General features: G+C 38.0%; 1 protein-coding gene across 17 annotated transcripts in view; it reads right to left on the reverse strand.

Annotated features, from left to right (window-relative positions):
* Nucleotides 1-21,689, reverse strand: part of ZBTB20 (zinc finger and BTB domain containing 20) — an 832,789-nt gene that overhangs the window by 302,290 nt on the left and 508,810 nt on the right. Inside the window, exon 1 of one of the 17 annotated variants that reach the window (NM_001164346.2) lies at nt 8,088-8,156. The exons of 15 other annotated variants lie outside the window; for them this stretch is intronic. The gene's annotated coding sequence lies outside the window, so the exon portion shown is untranslated. Of the gene's footprint in view, nt 1-7,326; nt 7,418-8,087; nt 8,157-21,689 lie in introns of those variants that run through there. One more of the 17 variants, NM_001164347.2, reaches the window with a different exon arrangement.

A 21,689-nucleotide genomic window follows, 5' to 3' on the forward strand; every position in this document is an offset into this window, starting at 1 on the left:
GTAAATTTGTAATCTTCCCCCATCCTCCAAAATCTACTCTTCCTCCTCATAGCTTTTCTTGCTTAGTTGTATAAGGCAGAAACCTGGGAGCAATCCAAAATTCCTTCTCTCCATGCCCAGCCCAAAGGTTATTAAATTGTGTCAATTTTGCCTATCTCTTGAACATATCTCCTCCTCTCTGTCTATTCCCACAGTTATTGTCCTAGTTCAGGGCTTCATTGTTTCCTGTCTGAACAATTTCAGTTGCCTCCTAACTCATTTTCTTGCCTCTATTCTCCCACTCCTATAATCTATCCTCTACCCTGCTGACAGGGTGATCTTGTATCACACAATTTCATCATTAACCTTCTCTACTTAAAACCTTTCAATAGCTCCCTGAATGCCACAAGATGAAGTTAAAACTTCTTTGCATGGCAATCAGGGTCCAACATGATTGTTCCCTGCCTGCATCTACAGCATCGTTTCTCTGTACTCCCCTACTACACATAAGTGATAGTGTTCCCCAGCTCTGCCATGCTATTTCTAGTTAACTGCCTTTGCCCCTGCTGGCTCCCTTACTGAATGTTCTTCCTCCCTCTGACCATCTGGGAAAATCCTTCCATTCCCAGCACGGATTTATCAGCTCTTCTGTGAAACTTCCTCTGATCCCCCACTCCAAGATATGTTCAGCTGAACACTCACTGTGCCTCCATGGTTCCTTGAACATCCTTCAGTTACGGCACTTAGCATAATGGTATTACCCCAACTTGTTTCCCTATCTGCCTCTCCTCTAGTGAGCAACTTGAGACCATGTTGTATTCATCTTTGTATTGTAAATGACAAAGCCAATGCCTTCACAACAGCATATTAGGGCCCATGTGATCAGACACCCTTGTCTCCCTTACTTCATCTCCTACTAGTCTCATGCTTACCCACTCAGATTCTGCCACACAGACTTCCTTGTTGTCACTCAAACTTTCCAGATACATTCATGTCCAAGGCCTTTGCACTTGATGGTTCCACTGTTGAAAATGCTTTTGCTTAGATATCCACAAAACTTGCTTCTTCACTTTCATTGAGGTCTTTTCTCAAATGCTGTCCCCCAATGAAGACTTCCCTCTCTACCTCTCCACCCTATTTAAAATTGCAAACTTATCCCTGACACAAACACACATGTATACACTCTTTCTCCTCTTTAAATTTTCTCCATAGCACTTATCATAAAATGCCACATATTTTACATATATATATATATTTTATCTTCTGTCTCTCCTATCTAGAAAGTAACTACAAGGAGAACAAAGATTTCTGTTTTTTTTTTTCTAAATCTACTGCAGTATCCCCAACCCCTGGAATAGTGTTGGGTACATAATATGAATTCCTCAATAAATATTTATTAATAAATGAATCAATCTTTAGCTTCTTGAATAATAACTGACACAGAGTAGGGATTCAAAAATGTTTCTTTCCTTTTTTTTTTTTTTTTTGGTTTGTTTTTTGAGACACAGTCTTGCTCTGTTGCCCAGGTTGGAGTATAGTGGTGCAATCATAGCTCAATGCAAGCTCAAACTCCTGGGCTCAAGGGATAAGGGATCCTCCCATCTCAGCCTCCTCGGTAGCTGGGACTACAGGCATGTGCCATCATGCCTGGCTACTTTTTAAAAATTTTAGTAGAGATGAGATCTTGCTATGTTACCCAGACTGGTCTCAAACTCCTGGGCTCAAGGGATCCTCCTGCCTTGGCCTTTCAAACTGCTGGGATTATAGGTGTGAGCCACTGCATCTGGCCCAAAAATATTTCTTAAACTAAAAAATACATGGGTGAATGAATGAATTAATGTTAAATCCATCTTTAATGAATATAATGAAGAAACAGTCTGTGTACAGTACAGTCTGTGTACAGTAAGTTGAATGGGTTACTATTATCCTCATTAGACAAATGAAATAGATGAGTCCCAGAAAGGTTAGGAGCCAAAATTAAAGCTACTATACATAGCTTAAACAGGTTTGCTACTCTTTTTCAATTCACTATTGAAAGGAACAGACAATTCTTTGCACTTTGTTCATGATGTACCTCTGACATTTGTTATACAATTTTGCTTCCTCTTGACTAGGAATGCAATTAGCAGGAGGTGCAAGGTGCTAACACTTTTTATTACAATTTATGTCTTTCCATATTAGGTGTTTTTCATAAAAAAGATCCCCTTTCTTTAATTTTCACAAGTGGATTAGGCACTCATATAATTTTGCCCTTCGGAGTGGTTTGTACATGACTACCCAGGAGGACATTGTGTTACAAATCCTGCCAGAATGAACTGGAAGGTGAGTGCAGCATTCATAGCTTAAGGATGAACAGGTTGTTTGGTGCCAGGTTTGTACTAATGGAGATGTTCTCCATTAGTGTTAACTCCCAAAGGAGAATAAATTCAATAACAAAACATTTCAGTTTTTGGCATTTCTATGGAGAGTTAACTTTCCATTGTTCAAGGGTTAATTATCCATTATGTGAATCACTTTTCTTTCTGTGGCTGCTTACATCTAGGAATTCAGTTTACTAGAGAGTGAGCAGGGAAAATAAAGAGACGAAAAGGAATATTCTATATATATAAACTCCAGGAAAAAAATTGGTTTAGGGGACAGAATGAGATATAGTTTGGGGATTGCTAAGTTGATTGACAATTGAAAATGGGTAAGATTAAAGCATGTTTTATTATACACAATATTTTGGGTTTTTTTTTTAAATTGTTTATTAGGGTCAGTTTGTAGTACATGCAGTTACTCTCTGGATGTGATTCTTGTCAGCACAATACCATCTAGGGTGCTAGAATGGGCATTTAGCAAATGGTACTTTAGAGGCTAGCTCGACTTGGTGCCCCTCTCCTCTGAAGAAGGCTTAGTGTGCTGCAGCTTAATGAATGAAACAGCACTAAGTGATTCCACCTATTTCTCTACTCATTGATGAGAAACAACTGCAGTAGGCTATTTTCAGCTATTATTTACCTCAAACAGGGCATTTAATTAGTGCTTGTTAAGACAGTGCAAATGATTTGGCTGCCAGTCTTCTTGCCCCTGCTCTTTATTGTGCTGTATGTCTGCCCCGCCTCTCTCCTGTCTAGTTCACAGGGCATCCATAGCCAGTCTTCATGCCTTTCCATAACTGACATCAGCCTGACCTCCACGGATGTGGAAGTTTGAGGAAAGGAAGAACAAGTATTGACAAGCTGGAGGGACTGTTGGTTAATATGATGCATTATAGGTAAGTCTGGTACTTTCTGACTACATGAGCTGACCAAGCTGGATATTCGGTCACCCTCATAAGTCCAGGAAAATGAATGGAACTACTGCAAACTGAAGATCCCATGTTCCATCAGAAATTACCCAAGCATTGTGGGGAACCTTAGCAATCTTAGTAAATGGTTGGAAATGCTGTCAGATAGTTGGAAGATCTAATGTGGGAGTTAAGGAGGCTCAGATATAGAAGACTCTGCCAATTTGTGTTCTAGACATGGACATGTTTTTTTCTTTTCTTTTCTTTTTTTTTGAGATGGAGTTTTGCTCTTGTTGCACAGGCTGGAGTGCAATGGCACGACTTTGGCTCACTGCAATCTCCACCTCCTAGGTTCTAGCGATTCTCCTGCCTCAGCCTCCCGAGCAGCTAGGATTACACGCATGCGCCACCATGCCCGGCTAATGTTGTATTTTTAGTAGAGAGGGGGTTTCTTCATGTTTATCAGGCTGGTCTCGAACTCCTGACCTCAGGTGATCCGCCCGCCTCGGCCTCCCAAAGTGCTGGGATTACAGGCATGAGCCACTGTGTCCGGCTGTTTCTTTCACTATGATAAGCAAGATGTATTCACTGTCAATGCACTGACATGTAGATATCCATTCATTCATCACCTATTCATTGATCCTCCACTCAGACTGAGCCAATCTGACACTGGTTGGGAGAGAAATTAACAAACCTAAAACACAAAACCTGCCCTCTAACCACTTGCAGTTTCATATATAGAAAAAACTTCAACTTAAAAGCATATATAAATGCTAAATGAAGGTAGATTTGTAAAATGCTACCAGTGTCAGATCACTTTTAATTTGGGTTTTATGGAAAACTTCAGAGAAAAAGTGTGACTTGTCAAGGATATGATTTGGCTGATCTTGAAAAGTTATCAGAAAAATTATGGTTGCTGATGCTAATATGTAAATACAGCATCAAAATATTTAACATATAGTAAAATAGCTGAGAAACTAAAATGGGATCATCTGTATATGTACTCAGCCTTATAAAATAAAATGAATTCATTAAACATATGCTCAATTTTAAGATATCAATTAATTTCTTTCTACTTAATTTTAAACTTTTATATATATAGCAATTAATATTTTGAAGCTGTACATAATAGAATTTAGGTTGATAAGCTAATATGTATATTTGCTGAAGGATAATTACCAAACTTATCAGCTAACTACATCTTTCTTTTTGCAAATACTGTTCATAAATATTTGTGTAAACTTTCGGTGTTGTCAGTGTGATAAAAAGTCAGCTACATTTCATTTATGGTCATTATGACCAAAACATTTGACTGAAATCAAAGGCAAGTAAGCCTGGCTAGAATTTGGTCATATTTTTAATAGCTGAATATAGATATATGGTTGTGCGTATATGTAGGCATTTATAAGCTAACATACATATACAATCATATGATACAAGCAATCAACTCCTTTTTAAGTTTTTAAAATATATGTCTTTCTTAGGGGAATCACATAAATACTAAAAACCACTTCTATATAAATAAGAAAGAACAATTTCTTATTGGGGTAACAACAATTCTGTTATTTAGCAATTTGATTTGTGTATATCTGCGACTGCCTAATTAAATGAATATAGCATATAGGAAGTACTTACAGCTAAAATATGCACGCAAGAAAATACACATTTCACAACATGCATCCTCATTAATTTAATGAAATTAGAATTTCCAGGTGAGCACTAGGAAATTGAGTTATTGACAGTGCATTGTGAAGGCTTATGATCAAGGTATTGAAAAAATAAGTAATATTAATATAGCCATTGAAGCACAAAAAATACATCGTCTTGCCTTTGTATCAGAGGTACACTAATCAAATTCTGACTTCTTATATATTTCAATTTAGTCATGAAATTCTTCCACGACCACTTGGAACTCCAAGCCTTAGCAACTATAAGAAAAATCTCTCTGGCAGATTATATTTTTTTAAATGTCATGTCTTGGGAATACTCTTAAATATTTGTTTTCACCTATTCTCTTCTTAAAGTTGCTTATATAATTTCATATGTAGTCATTAATAACATGTTTTCAAAGTGTTAGAGATCTAGCTTGCCTTCAACGCAGTTCTAATAGACATCCCTACCAGAAACTATGAGACAGTTTTCCTGGGAGTCTGGGCAGTTTGAATATTAACTGAGGAATGTTAACCTCCTATGTAGGTCTTGGTGGTAATGGCCTAAGAGCTAGTTACATTTTTTATAACGTATTGTAAACACCATTTCCCTTTCAACTTTTTTTCTTTAGAAAACAAGATAACTAATGAAAATTACCCAAGAAATATTATACATATAAATAGTATAGTCCTAACACGAGCTAACTACAATAGGCAAACTTTACTATTAATATAACATTAAACTTTTACCATACTAGCCCTAATAAAACTCTGAGACTATTTTCTATCACAATGACAGCTGATGAATTTAATGTGCCTCACAAACTATAGGAATTGTGATAGGAAGCTGACTCTGTCCTAGAGGCCACTGACAAACCTGATAAGGCTGTAGCAGGGGTCAGTCTCTATAGGAAACTTGGGCTATATGAGCATGTATGAGTTCTGTGGTTAAGAATCTGAAGCACTCAGTATAGCAAACAAAATTCCAAAGCTGAGTACCAATGTAATACGCTGGATCGCTGTACCTACTTGGACAAGAGTACATGCAACAGGCACATACAATATACATCTGGTTAAATGTAAAATCATCCATTGCTAAAGCATTTTAAACTTCTAGGAGAAATCTACTGGCAATGTGTTAACAGCAAGGACAACCAAAACAATAAAATAACATCTCTTTCCTAAAATTTAAGAACATCAAGTAAGTGCCCCTTAGGCTGGGTTGTGATTCCTGGAAGTTTCAGCCTATGAGAACCATATTGGCGACATCAAAGACTCCCCCTCTTTCCAAAAAGCAATTCACTTCAGATGCTGCCACACAATCGAATGCTTTTATGGCCACCATGTTTTTTTGGTTTTTGTTTCGTCTTTTGTTTTTTCCATGCTTAATGAACATGCCAGATTCTTGAAATAGAAAGAAGATGAGAAAACCCAGTAAGATGGAATACCTCTAGAAAAGAAACTAGGCAGGGACCTGATGGTAAAGGATAAAAACACATTCCAACAGGAATTCTACTTTTAGGGAGAGTATGAGTTATTAAGAAGGATGTGGAAGGCACATTTTGGCTATGAAAGCTGGTCCGTGGACTCCTCTGCCAGTCTCACATCAGACAGGATGCAACCATCCCCACTCCATTCCTTCGACAACTTCCCAGAGCACATTCAATCAGTGTCCCTTAAATTGAGGACAATACTATATTTGGGTTTAATACTGTGAGGACAGTCATTTAGTTTTCCTGTGGCAGGATGATAAATTTCCTGGGAACCAAATAAGGATTCTCATTGCATTCTTCTGCTTGATACTATGAATGCAGAAGAATAAAGAAGAGGGTGTGACAAATCATATTTTCCAAAGGTCGGGTGTGGGGAGGTTCCCTAACGTTTAAAAGCAACCAGTTGTTAGCAAAGTGATCTTTAGAACAGTATTAGCAAGAATGTTTGCTCTACATCCACTATAGATATTCTCTCCTGCTTAGCTAGGCATGTAAGTACTGTGAGCATAATGTAAATACTCAGAACAGAAATGCATGGAAAGCTGGTGGAGTGAAACTCCAAATGAACAATTAATTCCACTTTCACTTCCCCCATCTACCTCCCTGAATACTACCTCCCTGCCCCCACTCACCTATCTTCCTCCCCCCAACAAGCATGTTTGCTAGGCATGTCAAGGCTGACATCCATCGGTGGCAGTATGAAACCTATGCCTACAGGCTGCTCCTGAGCATAGCCTCAAGGCTCTGCCATTGTCCGTAGAGTGCTCTAAGTTGTGCCCGCTAAAAATCTTCATCATTCCATTTGACTGTTTGGTAGTATTTCTTTAATTGTATTTTTTGTTTGTTTGTTTTAAAAACACCCTTTATTTCCTGCTTGCCTTAGAGACACCAAGAATAAAATCCTTGACACATCAAATTCTGGAACCTCACCACTCACCAGGACTATGGTTCCTGATCCAAGGAGTGACGACTGAGAATCAGCACACAGTCTCTTGAGGGTGTCCAGGCCTGGCTGTTAAGCTCCCTGCTCTGATTAGTTTGTCGAGTTCACAGTGTTCCAGAGTGCTGAAGCACAGAAATTAGGGAGGGGAGGTGGAAGGAAAATCACTGGAGCCTCTTACGATCTAACTTCCACTAACTGGGAGGAAATGTCTTATAAATAAACAACAGTAAGAGAAACAAAAAAAAAAAAAACCCATCCCGTCCTGCCAGAGGAATGTACATTATTGTCTCCCGACGGAAAACTTTACACCACACCAGAATGCAGCCATGTCTCCTGAAACTACCTCCCTCAAAACAGAAAGAAAAAGAGAATCAAAAAGGAAAGGAGAACAAAACAGAACAAAAAAGATTTCATCCCCTTGAATTCTGTTGGGAAGTTCATGTGAGTTCCCAGTAGACAAACTAAACTAAGCAATTTCAACAGTGTCACTGTTCCAGAATTTTGTGCAGAGGCTGCTTATTAGCCAAATTTCATTTCTGCCCAGATCACTGCTGTACCATCCAGACATTTTCAGAAGGGAAGTTCAGGGAAGGGGGGAAGGGTACGACTGTGGAGAAGAGGAAGAAGAGAGGACAAAGGAAAACTCCTGATGAACCAGAATGCCCTAGCCACGGCCATGATAGAGCGAGCCCCCACCCACCACCCGACTACTGCTTGTTGAGGACTTGGTGATGCGGTGTGTTTTATCTACTTACTCTTTCTGCTCGGGAGGCTGAGGTTCCTACATTTCCAGCTCATGCTGGACTGTACCGTAAGCAACAAGTGAAATGAGTTCAGTGATCTCATTCTAGTCCTTCGACTCCTGTCCACATCACTAAGCGACTGCACAGCTTGGCACAGGCCAGGATGAGTCAGCAGTCTCTGGTCATGAGAGGCCAGGCCTGGAATAGCAGGGGGGTTTAGGTCAGGAGCAAAATGAAGCAGAAAGGCAGTCTAGATGGCAGGGCTCTGTTCTGCAATACACAGAAATACTGCAGGTCAAAATGAAAGCGCCTCATCAGCTCTGGGGTGAAGATTGTAGGACTGTAAAAAAAGAAGCATCAAGAGAAAAAAAAAAGCTGCCTACCAAACATAGCAAGGACAAAACAGAGTACCACAGTCAGAAAAAGAGGGCACTGGTAGAGCCCTGGAGGATAAAAGATGCTCATTAAGGTTTCTGAAATGTCTTTTCTTCCACATGCTCCCAAACTTGAATTAAGAAATGGTGACTTCCTATATACTATCCTAGTATTTTGGTACTGTTTTCCCAATTCAGTAAGTAGCAAAACAAATAAAATGCAAGGCACTGCAGTTAAATAGCAAGAAAAGCCTCATATTTCATAAAATAATATGAGTCTGATATCTCAAAGGTGTACATTTGGGTTAATAGTGTCTGTATATAGCCTGTATGAAATGGTTAAAGAGGAGTACTCTTTAAGTTGAGCTTGGGTGGGGGTAGAGAAGAGCTTAGAGAAAAGAGAGTTACCAGTTAATGATAAAACATAGGGGAACTATGACACTGTGACCATATTTCTACTCAATGGGGCCAACATAGACCTCCATTAGACCTCCATCAAGAAGTGATGCTCCCACTAACAGGACTTCAAACACTTCTCCCTCTGCAGTAGTACTGTAATATAGCAAGGGGAGAGGGAAAATAAAATAGATAGAAAAACAAGGTTCAACATAAAAAAAATTAGTGATAGACATTTTGTTTCAGAGGAGGCAAATTGCTCTATAAGTCAACTGATAAAAAAAAGTCTTGGTATCTGAACAGACTTAGAGAAACCATATCTAGATGAAGATGCCAGGTGGAGACTGATAACTATCAGGAAATGGTAGTAATGGCCATAAAGAAGGAAGAAAGCAATCTCAAGTCACATGATGTAGAATAAAACAGCATGGAAAACAGAAGGAGAGCAACAGACTTCGGGAACACGAGTAAAATATTTCTTTAAAGTCCTTTTAAGAGGAGTAATGAGGACCCACCACATATTCCTAAATGTTGTCCCTCAGAGATGCACAGATGTATATGGGTAAGGAAATGTAAAATAAACTTTCAGCTTTCATTTCAGAGGGTATTAAGTCATCTGAACACATATTTACTAACTGTTTAATCTTGGGCAAATGAGCTTTCTAGCCTCAGTTTCTCTCTCTTTGAAATGGAAATAATATTATCATCCTCATGGAATCATTGTAAGCACTGAATCAATGTTCATTAACCCTTATCTCAGCAGTACCTGTCACATGGTGAACATTCAGTAAATTGCTTATTATTCATATTATTTGATTATCATATCATATCATCTTTATAAGTATCCAGTGAAAGAATCCCCCTCCAGTGTTGTTCCACTGGATTGAGAGGAATCAATATGAAGACTCTAGTAAAATCAGTTGAGTAACACTGCTTACACTGCTGCTTTAAAAAGATTATTTCTGTCTGGGTATGTTAAACATTATACTTGAAGACACAGGATGTTGAAAATCTATTATGTGAAATCCTTGAATTTGGGTATCTATGTTGTCAAAGCAACTTGGAGCCTAACAGTTGTCCAGTAACTAGAGGCCCAAAAAAGAAAAGAGGAATTTTTAGAAGCTTCTCCAAAAGCAACAGGATAAAAGTGTTATTGGCCTTAACCGCATGATGAGGGCTTTTTACCAAAGGGGAAAACGTAGTCCAGTTGATCATCGCAGCCTAATTGATTAATTGTGGGTCTGACCATCTGGCTGATGAATGCTGACACCCAGCAGTGATTACTGTGTAACACAATTCCGGATGTGCTCTCCCTGATGCCTCCCACAATAATGGCAACTCTGAACTTAAGGTTAGTTTATTCAGGCCTCTTGGCTCAATCTCTTCATGGAATAGTGGTTGTGGCAGGGAATATTTTACTAGACCTGGTCAAGCATTATCTTCTCTTATTTCAGTTACCCACTCTTTTCCAACTCTACTCCTACCCACTCCTAAGCCCTCTCTTGTATATAATCACTTTTCATGCAAAGCATTCCATCTGTAGTTTTCATCATATTATCTGATTCTCTCATTTCTGGTTGCTCTGTTCTGAAAAATATTTGACTAAACTAGGAGATCTATACTGCTAGAATGCCATTTCACAGGGGATCCTATTGGGACATGTTTATTGTATCTTATTTGCTACTGGTTTACTTCAAATTACTCTGCGCTTCCAAATAAAGAAAATTATTTTACCTAATTCATTAGCCTGATTAAAAGTCCCACATATGGCCCAAGTTTTCCATGAGATTATCAGAATACAAGGGTTAATAGACGATAATTCTTACATCTTAAGCCTACTTCTGACCCTCAGTTAGGAGTATCCCATGAAGAAGATTCCCCTGGAGCATACTTTACTGTTAGAGAAGGAAAGTCAGACCCATGTAAATGACAAGGTTCAATAGCAATGCCATCCACAAACCAATCTACACCTGGAGATGACTTGTACATGGAGAATTCACCAAGCAAATAAAACCTGTACATATAAATATAAACCCTGGGGAATTATAACAAAATAATTCCATTGTATTTTGTAGGAATGCACAGGGGAGTAACTGACACAAAATATCTTATACAACCTTGACCAACAAGTCACAATGACAAATCATCCGTTTCCTCTTTTCTTTTCCCAGATTGATTTCCAGCTCTAAATTCATCTTTTCTTTCACTCCCCACAGATGCTGAATTCTTCTATGTTCCAGGCTGAGTTAGTGTTAATTTTCAGTAGAGGACGGCAGTAGCATGCTGAACTGTAGAGTTCCGGGCTGGGAGTTGGGAAATGTTTTTGGCCTGACTGTCAGTAAACAACTATGTGTCTTGGGCAAGTCAAGTCCCTTAACTCCCCATGTCTCAGTCTCTTCATTGAAAAATGATAGGGTAGGACTGCATAAACTCCATAGTCTCTGCCAACACTAAGATTCTATGGTTCTATAGCTCATTTCCTTTTTTTTCTCCCTTTGGCATCAACTGCTCAACAACTCCGCTCATAGTAATCTCTATGCTCTCAGTTACTAATGGAAAAATATGTCCTTCATTTACTAGTTGGTATTTTGTATTTGTAATCTCTCTCTTTTTTTATTTGATGCTAGATATTTTGAGTCATAAACACCAACATATCCAAATAGATGCTTTAAATTTGAAGGCGTTTAAGGAAAATAGCTTTCCCATGTAGAATATTTAGTGTAGCAGGGCATGGAGGAAGCCAGCCATCCAAAAGTGGAGCAAAGGGGCCAATTCACAAATGAGAGAAAGCCTTTCATAATAAGAGTCTCCACACTCTTTAACTTAGATAAAGCTAAAATGCTACCAACTTCTAACTACTTTTCCAATCAATCCCAGACACCATCACAGACACTTAGGACTACAAATCTGAGGACCAGCACTGGCAGCAATGCAGTTCTTATTTCACCTCCACCACCCATTGCCAAGCAGGATTTAGGATGGCATACTAATAAGAGCCAAGAGGACGATCTGTCATTTATTTTCCTCCAAACTTTTTGAAATTTCCCATTTGGGCTCTGTTTCCCAGTTTTAATTTGGTAACTGCCATTTTTCAGCATTTCTTTTAACAGGTTACTAATAATTTCTGATACAGGATCTCATATTTCATTTTATGCTGCTAGAGCTGCTGTTAATATTTCATCTGCCTTCAATTCAGCTCTGAATAAAGGCTGCTAGGTTTTGATAGACTGTTAACACTTTGGTTCTGGGGATTTGATCACTATGTTCATCCAGTTTGTCCATATTTTGTTAAAAAAAAAGTAATAGGTTAGCTATCTCAGAAATATCTCAGGGTGTGCTATACATTCTAGGGATACTTCAGAGTTTCTTTTTCTGGATCTTTGATGAAAACCAACAAAAACAAGTATCCTGGGTTTGTTTTCACAAATGACTTGCCATTTGCTTCAGTGTCAGTATTCTGGAAGCAGTGGGCAGTGGTTAAGATTCAGGGCTCATAGGCAGATCTAGATTCAAATTTTGGCTCTGAAATTTATTATATATATCACCTCAGGCCAGTTCCTTAACCTTGCCAAGTCTTTCTTTTCCCATTTGTAAAATAGGGATGATAATAATATCCACTTCTATTAATTAATATGAGGATCCAATAAATTAATATAAAGTGCTGAGGATTTTCTCAGTTCTCAATAAATGATGGCTATCATTATCCTAGCATTAATAATCTACAAATTCACATTATAGAATTATTATTTTGCAACATCTTTTCAGGGTCAACAAATTATTTTTTAGTACAGCCTTTGTTGTTTGCTTCACTATAGCTTACATTTTTAAAAAGTCTCAGTAAAATCATGTAAAATATTTAAAAATTTGATATTTAAACTGTATGTACAGTTAGACTAATATATAGCACCATATTATTATTATTGTAGCACTTTTCAGTGCAGCAGCAAATTCTCAAAAGTTTTTGTCCATCTAATAGCCAGCCCTAGATAAGGCACATTGTACCAATACTAATCTGTTCTATAAAAAGATGACTTATCATATTTATCTTCTCCTACTCCCAAAGAATATAGATTATTTTAATATTCTTTGGGTATGTGTCAGTCAGGCCCTGTTTGGATACAGAGACCATATAGCAATTTGAATAGAAAGTTAGTTTAAATTATTAATAATAACGGGATTAAAGTAATAAGAGTAGCTAGTAAGAAGTAAAGAATACTTTAAAGAATATAAGAATAACATGGGCCAGGCGCAGGGGCTCATGCCTGTAATCCCAGCACTTAGGGCCGAGGTGGGTCTTCAGCCTAGGAGCTGAAGACTAGTTTGGGCAAAATGGTGAAATGCCGTTTCTACAAAATATTAGTCGAGCATGATGGTGTGTGCCTGCAGTCCCAGCTACTTGTGGGGCTGAGGTGAGAGGATCGCTTGATTCCAGGAGGTTGAGGCTGCAGTGAGCTGTGTTCATGCCACTGCATTCAACCCTGGGTGACAAAGCGAGACCTTGTCTTAAAAAATAAAAAAGAATAGAAGAATAACAAATGTAAGGAACAGCCATTATTTGCAGGGCTAAGATAGCATATCCAAGGAAGAGTCTCCTCCATCCCTGGACTGAGATCTAGACATTGTAGGACTCAAGACAAAAATCTCCTGGACCCCTGGACCAGGATCCAGACCTTGTTGGACAACACACAGCCATAACTCATTGGATGGCAGAGAAGTTGCTGGGGAGCTGCATCAGTAGCACCTGCACTCTAGGGTGCTAATGAAAGCTATTTACAGGGATGTATCTCATCTGAGGCACTCTGCTATAAATTGCCCAATGTGTGTGTACACATGTGTGTGTACGTGTGTGTGTATGGTGGGTGCTAGGGGTAGCTGCTACCTGCCACGTACTGGAGAAGCTACCTGTGCTTCAGCTGCTGGGTACCAGGTTAGCTGCATTTGCTGCAGGAGCTACATGCTGTAAAGGTTGCTTATGTTGTAGAAGCCAGGCTCTGGAGAAACCGTGCACATTGCAGGAGGCTGCCAAAGTAGTGCATGACAACCAGGAAGGAAAATTTCTTCTTTCTGCAACGTCTCCCTACCTTCTCTACTGACAAAGCACCCTCAAACCAGCTAGCAAAGAAAAAATATTTAAAGAATCCAGATACATTTTTGCAGAGCAGGCAAGGAGAACTACATTTGGAAGGAGGCAATGGGAGGTAATACATTGGTAACTGGCACAGATATTATTATTTGCTCACACACTTCATGAAATAACTCACATTAGAGATTATAATCCAGTATTTTCAACTGATTGCACTACTGTTCACATTTACTAATAAACCAACTCCCTTTGCATAGTTAAGCAAATACTGTCAGAATTAAGAAAAATAAGAGGCCAGTAGATAAATACCTATAATAGAATATTTTAAAGTGACAGTACTAGTATATGTACATAACCTTTTCCCCCAAGTGCTGCCCACATACATTTTAATTACATGTTTATAATTTACTTAAGAAAAAAATATACAGAAGTACTAAGCTATTGACCTAAATGTATGCATCAGTGATCTCACACCAGAATCTCAACTAAGTGGGTATTCAGAAGAGTCATTACAAACAACCAAAAGCTTTGAGAGAGGTAAAAATTGCCTCGATTATCATTTTTCCTTTCTCTTTCCTTTTCTTTTTAATTAACTCTAGAACTCATATTTGCTTCTTCTATGACATTTTTGTGGAGGGGTGGGGTGGCTCTTAAATAGGTTATTCTTTTTTTTTTTTTTTTTTTTTTTTTTTTGAGATGGCGTCTTGCTCTGTTGCCCAGGCTGGAGTGCAGTGGTGCAATCTTGGCTCACTGCAACCTCTGCCTTCCGGGTTCAAGCAATTCTCCTGCCTCAGCCTCTTGAGTAGCTGGGATTACAGACATGTGCCACCACACCCAGCTAATTTTTGTATTTTTAGTAGAGACAGGGTTTCACCATATTGGTCAGGCTGGTCTTGAACTCCTGACCTCGTGATCCGCCTGCCTCGGCCTCCCAAAGTGCTGGGATTACAGGCATGAGCCACGTGCCCAGCAAAATATAGGTTACTGTTTTTCAGAAAAATACATATTTAGAAATTTTTTCTTATGATTCTGGTCCTATATTGTTCTACTCTTAATATTAAATAGAGAAGCATCAATAAATGACCAATTTGGTAAACTATGATACTGTGATCATTGTTAGAACTAGTTTTACATATGGGGAGAGAGTATATTCCAAAATACCTCCCCTACTTTTGCCTAATTCCCTTAAGAAGGGAACAGGTGCTTTTGCTGTATAATTACAGGTAGAGTTTAAAACCACAAACACCTGACATTAGCAAGGAGCGTGGTTGTGAGAGGCTGAGAGCAGAAAAGCTAATTGGGTGAGGAGAGTCCTGTAGAGAGTAGACTATACTGAGGTCAGGACCACAGAACATCTTTCTCACCATTCATCCGTTTTTACCTATGTCTGGCCATCAGCACTATCTGTTCTCACTATTATGGAAGGGGTCTACTTGTTACCTCACAGTTGTGTTTTCTTAAAGCCAGTGGTATCCAGCAAAGCAAGCCATGTTGGGTTGTCTCACAATCACACTGTAGGCATCTCTGCCAGCTGCAGGTGGTTATCCTTATGATTTCCTTTTGTTTGTGCTATGCGTGAGTACTGAGGATAAATTTAATGACCCTATGTTTAGTTCTCTCCTCCAACACACATGCACACCCCCCTCTCCCCTGCAATTCCTGAGTTCAAAAAGAGATGAAGACAAAGGAATGTCATAAGTCCGTGTGATTCAGGCAGGCAAGTCCATTTTATTTTAGTTTGCCCTTCTGTTCTGCTGGCTTTTCTGCTATGACCCACTATACTTAACCTGTCGGCTGTTCTTAGTAGCAACATGCCTTTTTAATCAGCCTTCCTGGGGTCTGCATTTGATTACAGCATTTGTGTTCTATTTTGATTCTTTTGTACTGTGCCCTGTGGTGTTCGCTTGAAAGGTGTTATTTATAAAATGAAATTCTATTGTATTGCCACTTGGATTCAAAGAGGACATATAATATTAATGCAGAATGTATTTAATAATATCTTCAATCTATTAAATCAATTTCTTCATGAGAATACAGAATGGAAGGGAGGCACATGGGCTGATAATCAGGTAATAAGACTTAAGAATCACCTGAACTTTTCCTTCACAAGCTTTCCTGAAAGCTGGCACAAGAATCATTCTCTTAATGTCAGGGTTTCCAAGTGGAGGAGACTACCTTTCTTCAGCCAGACCAGTGCAGTGCGCACCTGTTTAAACATTCAACTGTGCAGGCCAAACATTTTCCTAGGCTTTTAGATGCAAATTTTTTGACTAAGGAAACTATGAGACCAAACATGAATATGACTTTTTTACTACATAGAAAGAATTAGGTTATGAAGGAAATGTAATCACCTATTTCTAAGGATCTACTTTCAAGATTTGTAAAAAGAAGTATATTTGTTCTCACACTGACTCTTCTCAAAAGCAGGATAGGAAAATTCTAGTGATACCAAGAACTGATGCAAAGTTTCCAAGGTGGCATGTTCAGAATGATGTTCTCACCTAGCAAAAGGGCAGGTTTCATTGTGGGCTGCTGGGCCTACAGTCAAATGTTTCTAGATTAGATTGATGGAGGAGTCCCCAAGTTTTTTCAACTTCTAATTTTAATTCCAGCTAAAGACTGAAACATTGTACACTGTATCACAGCTTGCACAGCACATTTCTTGCTGCATACATTCTATTCTTTCACTACAATTTTTTTTTCCTGTTGATCTATCTGAAATCATCAATGGCTATGCTGCTGTTTGGATAGGGAATAAGAAAGAATTTGGTTTGAAAGATGATTTAGGAATCAGGCTCTGCAGAACTTACTAAAAGAAACTGTAACATACAAAGGAACCTGGCTGGGCAGTCTTGAAATGAGAGTTCCTGGATTTTTACCTGTTCTCATTCAGTGGCATATTATATAACTCCAGAAAAATCAGGGTCCAGTTTTCTAATCACTAAAAGGGGAATAACTGTCCTTTTCTACTTGCACTGGGCTACTTTAGGGATGGATAAGAAAATGATTCCAGAATCTTGTAAATGCTTTGCAATGAAGAGGAAATACAAATGCACAATATTATTAAAATGATAGTTTAGGCCACATTTTTGTTTCTCCAAATCTAGAGATGAAAAATAGTAACAAAGGAATAAATTTCTTCCACTTCAAAAATAAATAATATACCCTTATTTATAAATGACATGTCAAACATAAGGAACTAGGATGTGTTGGGGAATACACATCTCAGTTTTGAAGGCATCAAATTATAAGCTATTTGCATGAAGGAATCACATTCATCTCTGTATCCACCCAAGTTCTACCTCATTGATTTACATTATGTAAGTATTCCATTCGTTAACATATGTTGAATTGAAATGACAAATGAGATCGCACAATTTTAGAGCTCGAATTAACTAGAGACCATGTTAAATCCTGTTGCCTCATTTTGCAGATGATACAACTGAGGCCCAGATAAGTAACTTAACTAAGTCCAATACTAAAAATATTACAAGTTTTAGAAGAGTTATTTTAAAGATCTGCCACTGAAAATATATCACTGAATTAAAACAAAATAGACATTCTTCTGTCAAAATAAGAAGCACTATTCAGCTCAAATAATCCGATGTATCCTAACCTAATCAAGAAGGCTGAAGCCTAAAGTAACAAGTAAACATAATTAAATAGCTATAGACCCATAGGCATGTTAGAAATGCCAAGTTACTGAGGGGTGCATATCTTAATACTTTGTCTATCAGCCAGTCCAAATGGCATATTTTTTTCAAGTAAAATTAATGTCTTAACAAATAATAGGGGTGAAGTCAGCAAGATGGCAGAGTGGAAAACTCTACCTCTCATTCTTCCACAGAAATACTGATAAAACAATGTTGGAACCAAAATACCTTGCAAATATATTCAGATTGTAGCTAAGAAATAGAGGCACCCTAGAGGATCCCAAACTAAAAGCAGTTGCATTTGCATGGGTAAAAAGTGCAATTTCATGTTAGAATGTCATATCAGTACTTCCCCCAGACTGGCTTAGCTCAACACTGAGAGGACTGCTTCAGCTCATGATTTCTCCTGTGCCACAGAAAGTGAGATTGGAGTGTGTATCTGGCTTCCTGGCCTCTGGCCTCTCAGAGAACCCTCTGTTGGGTCAGTTCCTATATTGCCTCATACTGTGTACTGACGCACCTGTAGAACTTCGTTCCCAGGGATGCGTAGGAGCAAAGAAATGAGGAGGGCAACTCCTTACAGTTAGAGCTGCCTTGCAAGATTAGGAATGGGGCAGAACTGAGGTTATTCTTAGATGAGGGAGGAAAGGGAATGAAGGGGGCCTTATTCTCAGCATTTCAGAGTTCCCTCTGTGAAGCCAGTTTCCATTTCACCTTGTACTGAGCCTTGTGCGACCATTAGAACTTGGTTCTGAGGGATAGTTAGCAAAAACTAAAAGGAGCAGGCATCCCTTTGCAGCTGGCACTGCTCTGTATAATAAGAAAAAAACATAGAACCGAGCCTTTTCCTTGAGAAGGCAAGGAAAGAAGTGTAAAGGGCCTTGCCCCCAGTCTTAGATTGTGCTCCCCAAGGTGTATGTCTCTATCTTGTCTCATATTAAGCACCATGAACTGGTAAAGGTCTCTACTCATCAAAACTCATCTGTAGAGACTGGGAAAGGTAGCTGCTACTTCAAATATACAGATCACAAAGAAAATCTACAAGGAACACAAAGAGTCATCTCCAATAACCATCCTGAAAGAAACAGAGATCCCTGAATTAACTGACAAAGAATGCAAAATAAATGTCTTAAAGAAGCCCAGTGAGTTACAAGAGAACACTGAGAGATAGCTAAATAAAATTAGGAAAAAGATACAAGAACAAAATGAGAAGTTAAATAAAGAGATAGAGACTATTAAAAAGAACCCAATAGAATTACTGAAGCTGGAGAATACAAAAATTGAACTGAAAGATTCACTAGAGGAGTTCAAAAGCAGACCTAATCAAGCAGAAGAAAGAAACAGTGAACATAAAGACAGATCATTTGAAATTATGTAGTCAGGAGCACAAAGAAAAAACAAGGATGAAAAGTGAGGAAAGCCTAAGTGACTTATGGGACTCAAACAAGTGAATCAATAAACACATTAGGGAATTCTGGGGAGAAGAGAGGGAAAGGGGTAGAAAGCCTATTTAAAGAAATAATGGTAAGGAACTTCCCAAATCAGGGGAGAGAAATCAACATCCAGATTCATGAAGTCCAAAGAGCTCCAAAGATCTACACCAAGACCCATTATAATCCAATTGTCAAAAGTCAAAGACAGAATTTTGAGAGAAACAAGAGCGAAGCAACTCATCACATTCAAAGGAGTCCCCATAAGACTGTCAGCAAATTTCTCAGCAGAATCCTCACAGGCAAAGAGAGAGTAAGATGACATATTCAAAGTACTGAAGATCAAAAAACAACAACAACCTGTCAACCAAGAACGCTATACTCAGAAAAGCCATCCTTCAATAATAAAGAAGAGGTAAAGACTTTCCTAGACAAACATGCAGAGGGGTGTTCACCATCACTGTACCTGCTTTGCATGAAATGCTACAGAAAGTTCTTTAAGCTGAAATGAAAGGATGTTGATTAGCAGCATGAAAAGATGAAAGTATAAAACTTGCCAATAAAGTCAAGTATATAGTCAAATACTAGAGACCTCTAGTACTCTAATGATAGTGTGTAAATCACTTTCAACTCTGGTATAAACATTAAAAGACAAAACTATAAAAGTAATGACATGATTTGTTAATGGATACACAGTATAAAAAGACGTAAATTGTGACACCAATAACATGAAGTGTGTATATAGGAGAAGTAAAAGAGTAGAGATTTTGTATGTGATCAAATTTAAGTTGCTATCAGCTTAAAATAGATGATTATAAGTTGTTTTATGGAAGCCTCATGGTAAATACAAGAAAAACACCTGTAGTAGATATATAAAACATAAAGAGAAAGGAATCAAAGCATATTGCTACAAAAGATAATCAAATCACAAAAAAAGACAGCAACAGAGGGACAAAGGAACTACAAAACAACCAGACAATAATTTAAAAATGGCAGTAATAAGTTCTCACCTATTAATAATTAAGTGTAAATGGATTAGCTTCCCCAATCAAAAGATACAAACTGGCTGAAGAGATTAAGAGGAAGACTATCCATATGCTGTTAAAACAGCAACAACAACAACAACAAAAAACAACAACAACACACTTTAGCTTTAGGGACAAACATAGACTCAAAGTAAAAGGTGGGAAAAATATATTCCAAGCAAACGATAACCAAAAGCTAGTAAGAGTGGCTATTCTTATATCATACAAAATAGACTTTCAGCCAAAAATTGTCACAAGAGACAGAGAGAAGGTCATTATATAACAAGAAAGTGATTAATTCATTAAAATGATATAATAATCCCCTTGATTAGGATCCTTTTGATTGGAATCCTCTTGACTGGAGTAGAACAAAAACTGAATAATTGTAAACTATTATTATGAAGTAGAGATCTCCAATACACTACTTTTTATTTTTCCAAAGCTTTCCTGGAGATCACAGAGAACTGAACATGGAGAAAAAGTGAGCAAGAGACAGCAGTAGGCTTTATGCCTTAAATGGCTGTATAGCTTGTTAAAGATTATTGTTTGTGTATTAAAAAAACATGATTCTAGAAACATAATTGGGGTTTCACAGATCAAATTCAAATTATTAACTTAGTATTTCAGCCTCCATTACTTGCTCTATCTTGCTTAGGCATCCTAGGTTCCAGTACTTCCCAACAAGTGTTCTGTGGTGTATGCAGACTATGTTAGTGTTTCCCTTTATTTTGGTATTTCCACAGGAGACCTAATTTTAAATTTTCTGTTCTATCATCTCCATGATTTCTTAAATTATGTCTAGACTTCTGGATTAGAATATTATTCATGTACTTACTATGATTCAATAAACATCTTCTATGTGTGAGACAGTAGGAATAAGATACAAATAAGACTTATTTCCTATCTTCAAAGAATAAAGGAATTCACAATACAGTGGCCACTTAAATATATAACATGTGTTCCTGCTTTTAAGCTTTTATTCTTTCTATAATTAGAGTATCCTATCATTATTTTATTGATTGAATTCCTTTAATTATCTTATAGTCCAGCTTATGTTCTGCTTCTTCCATAAATTAATTTTTACTTTTTATAGCCCACACTGTTTCCTTTTCCCCCCACTATTACAGTGGAAGTGGACACTATTCCCTAACCAAACTTCATTCCCTCATTCTTCCTAGCCGCAGACCTCTATTTTGTGCAGAGTGTCAATGTGCTCAGTGCTGGATGATGAGTTTTGAAATTTATAAGCCAATTATGACAAGTGTATTCTCTAATTTGCTTGCTTCTCTAGCAAAGAAGGGTGGCCTAGGGATTCAGTTATAGCCAATAAGATCTATGTGGCAATCCACTTGAGAGGCAAGTTTCTGAGAAAGCTTTTTTTTTCCGTTACAAAGAGGAAGGTAAAAGGCAATCCTTCTGTTTCCTCCTCCTTCCCTCTTTGAACATAGACATGATGCTTGGAGTTGTGGCAGCTATTTTGTGATCATAAAGTGACAAGCATGAAAGAAAGACAAAAAGAATCCCAGAGATATCAGCACAGACTTTATCATATACCAGGAATTTCCTACCTCTCAACTTCTGGACTTCCTGTTAGGTGAGAAAACTGAATCTCTATTTGTTTAAGCCACTTAAGTCAGGATTTGCTACCTGCTG

Source organism: Homo sapiens, chromosome 3 (genome assembly GCF_000001405.40).
Source record: "Homo sapiens chromosome 3, GRCh38.p14 Primary Assembly".
Lineage (NCBI taxonomy): Eukaryota > Metazoa > Chordata > Mammalia > Primates > Hominidae > Homo > Homo sapiens.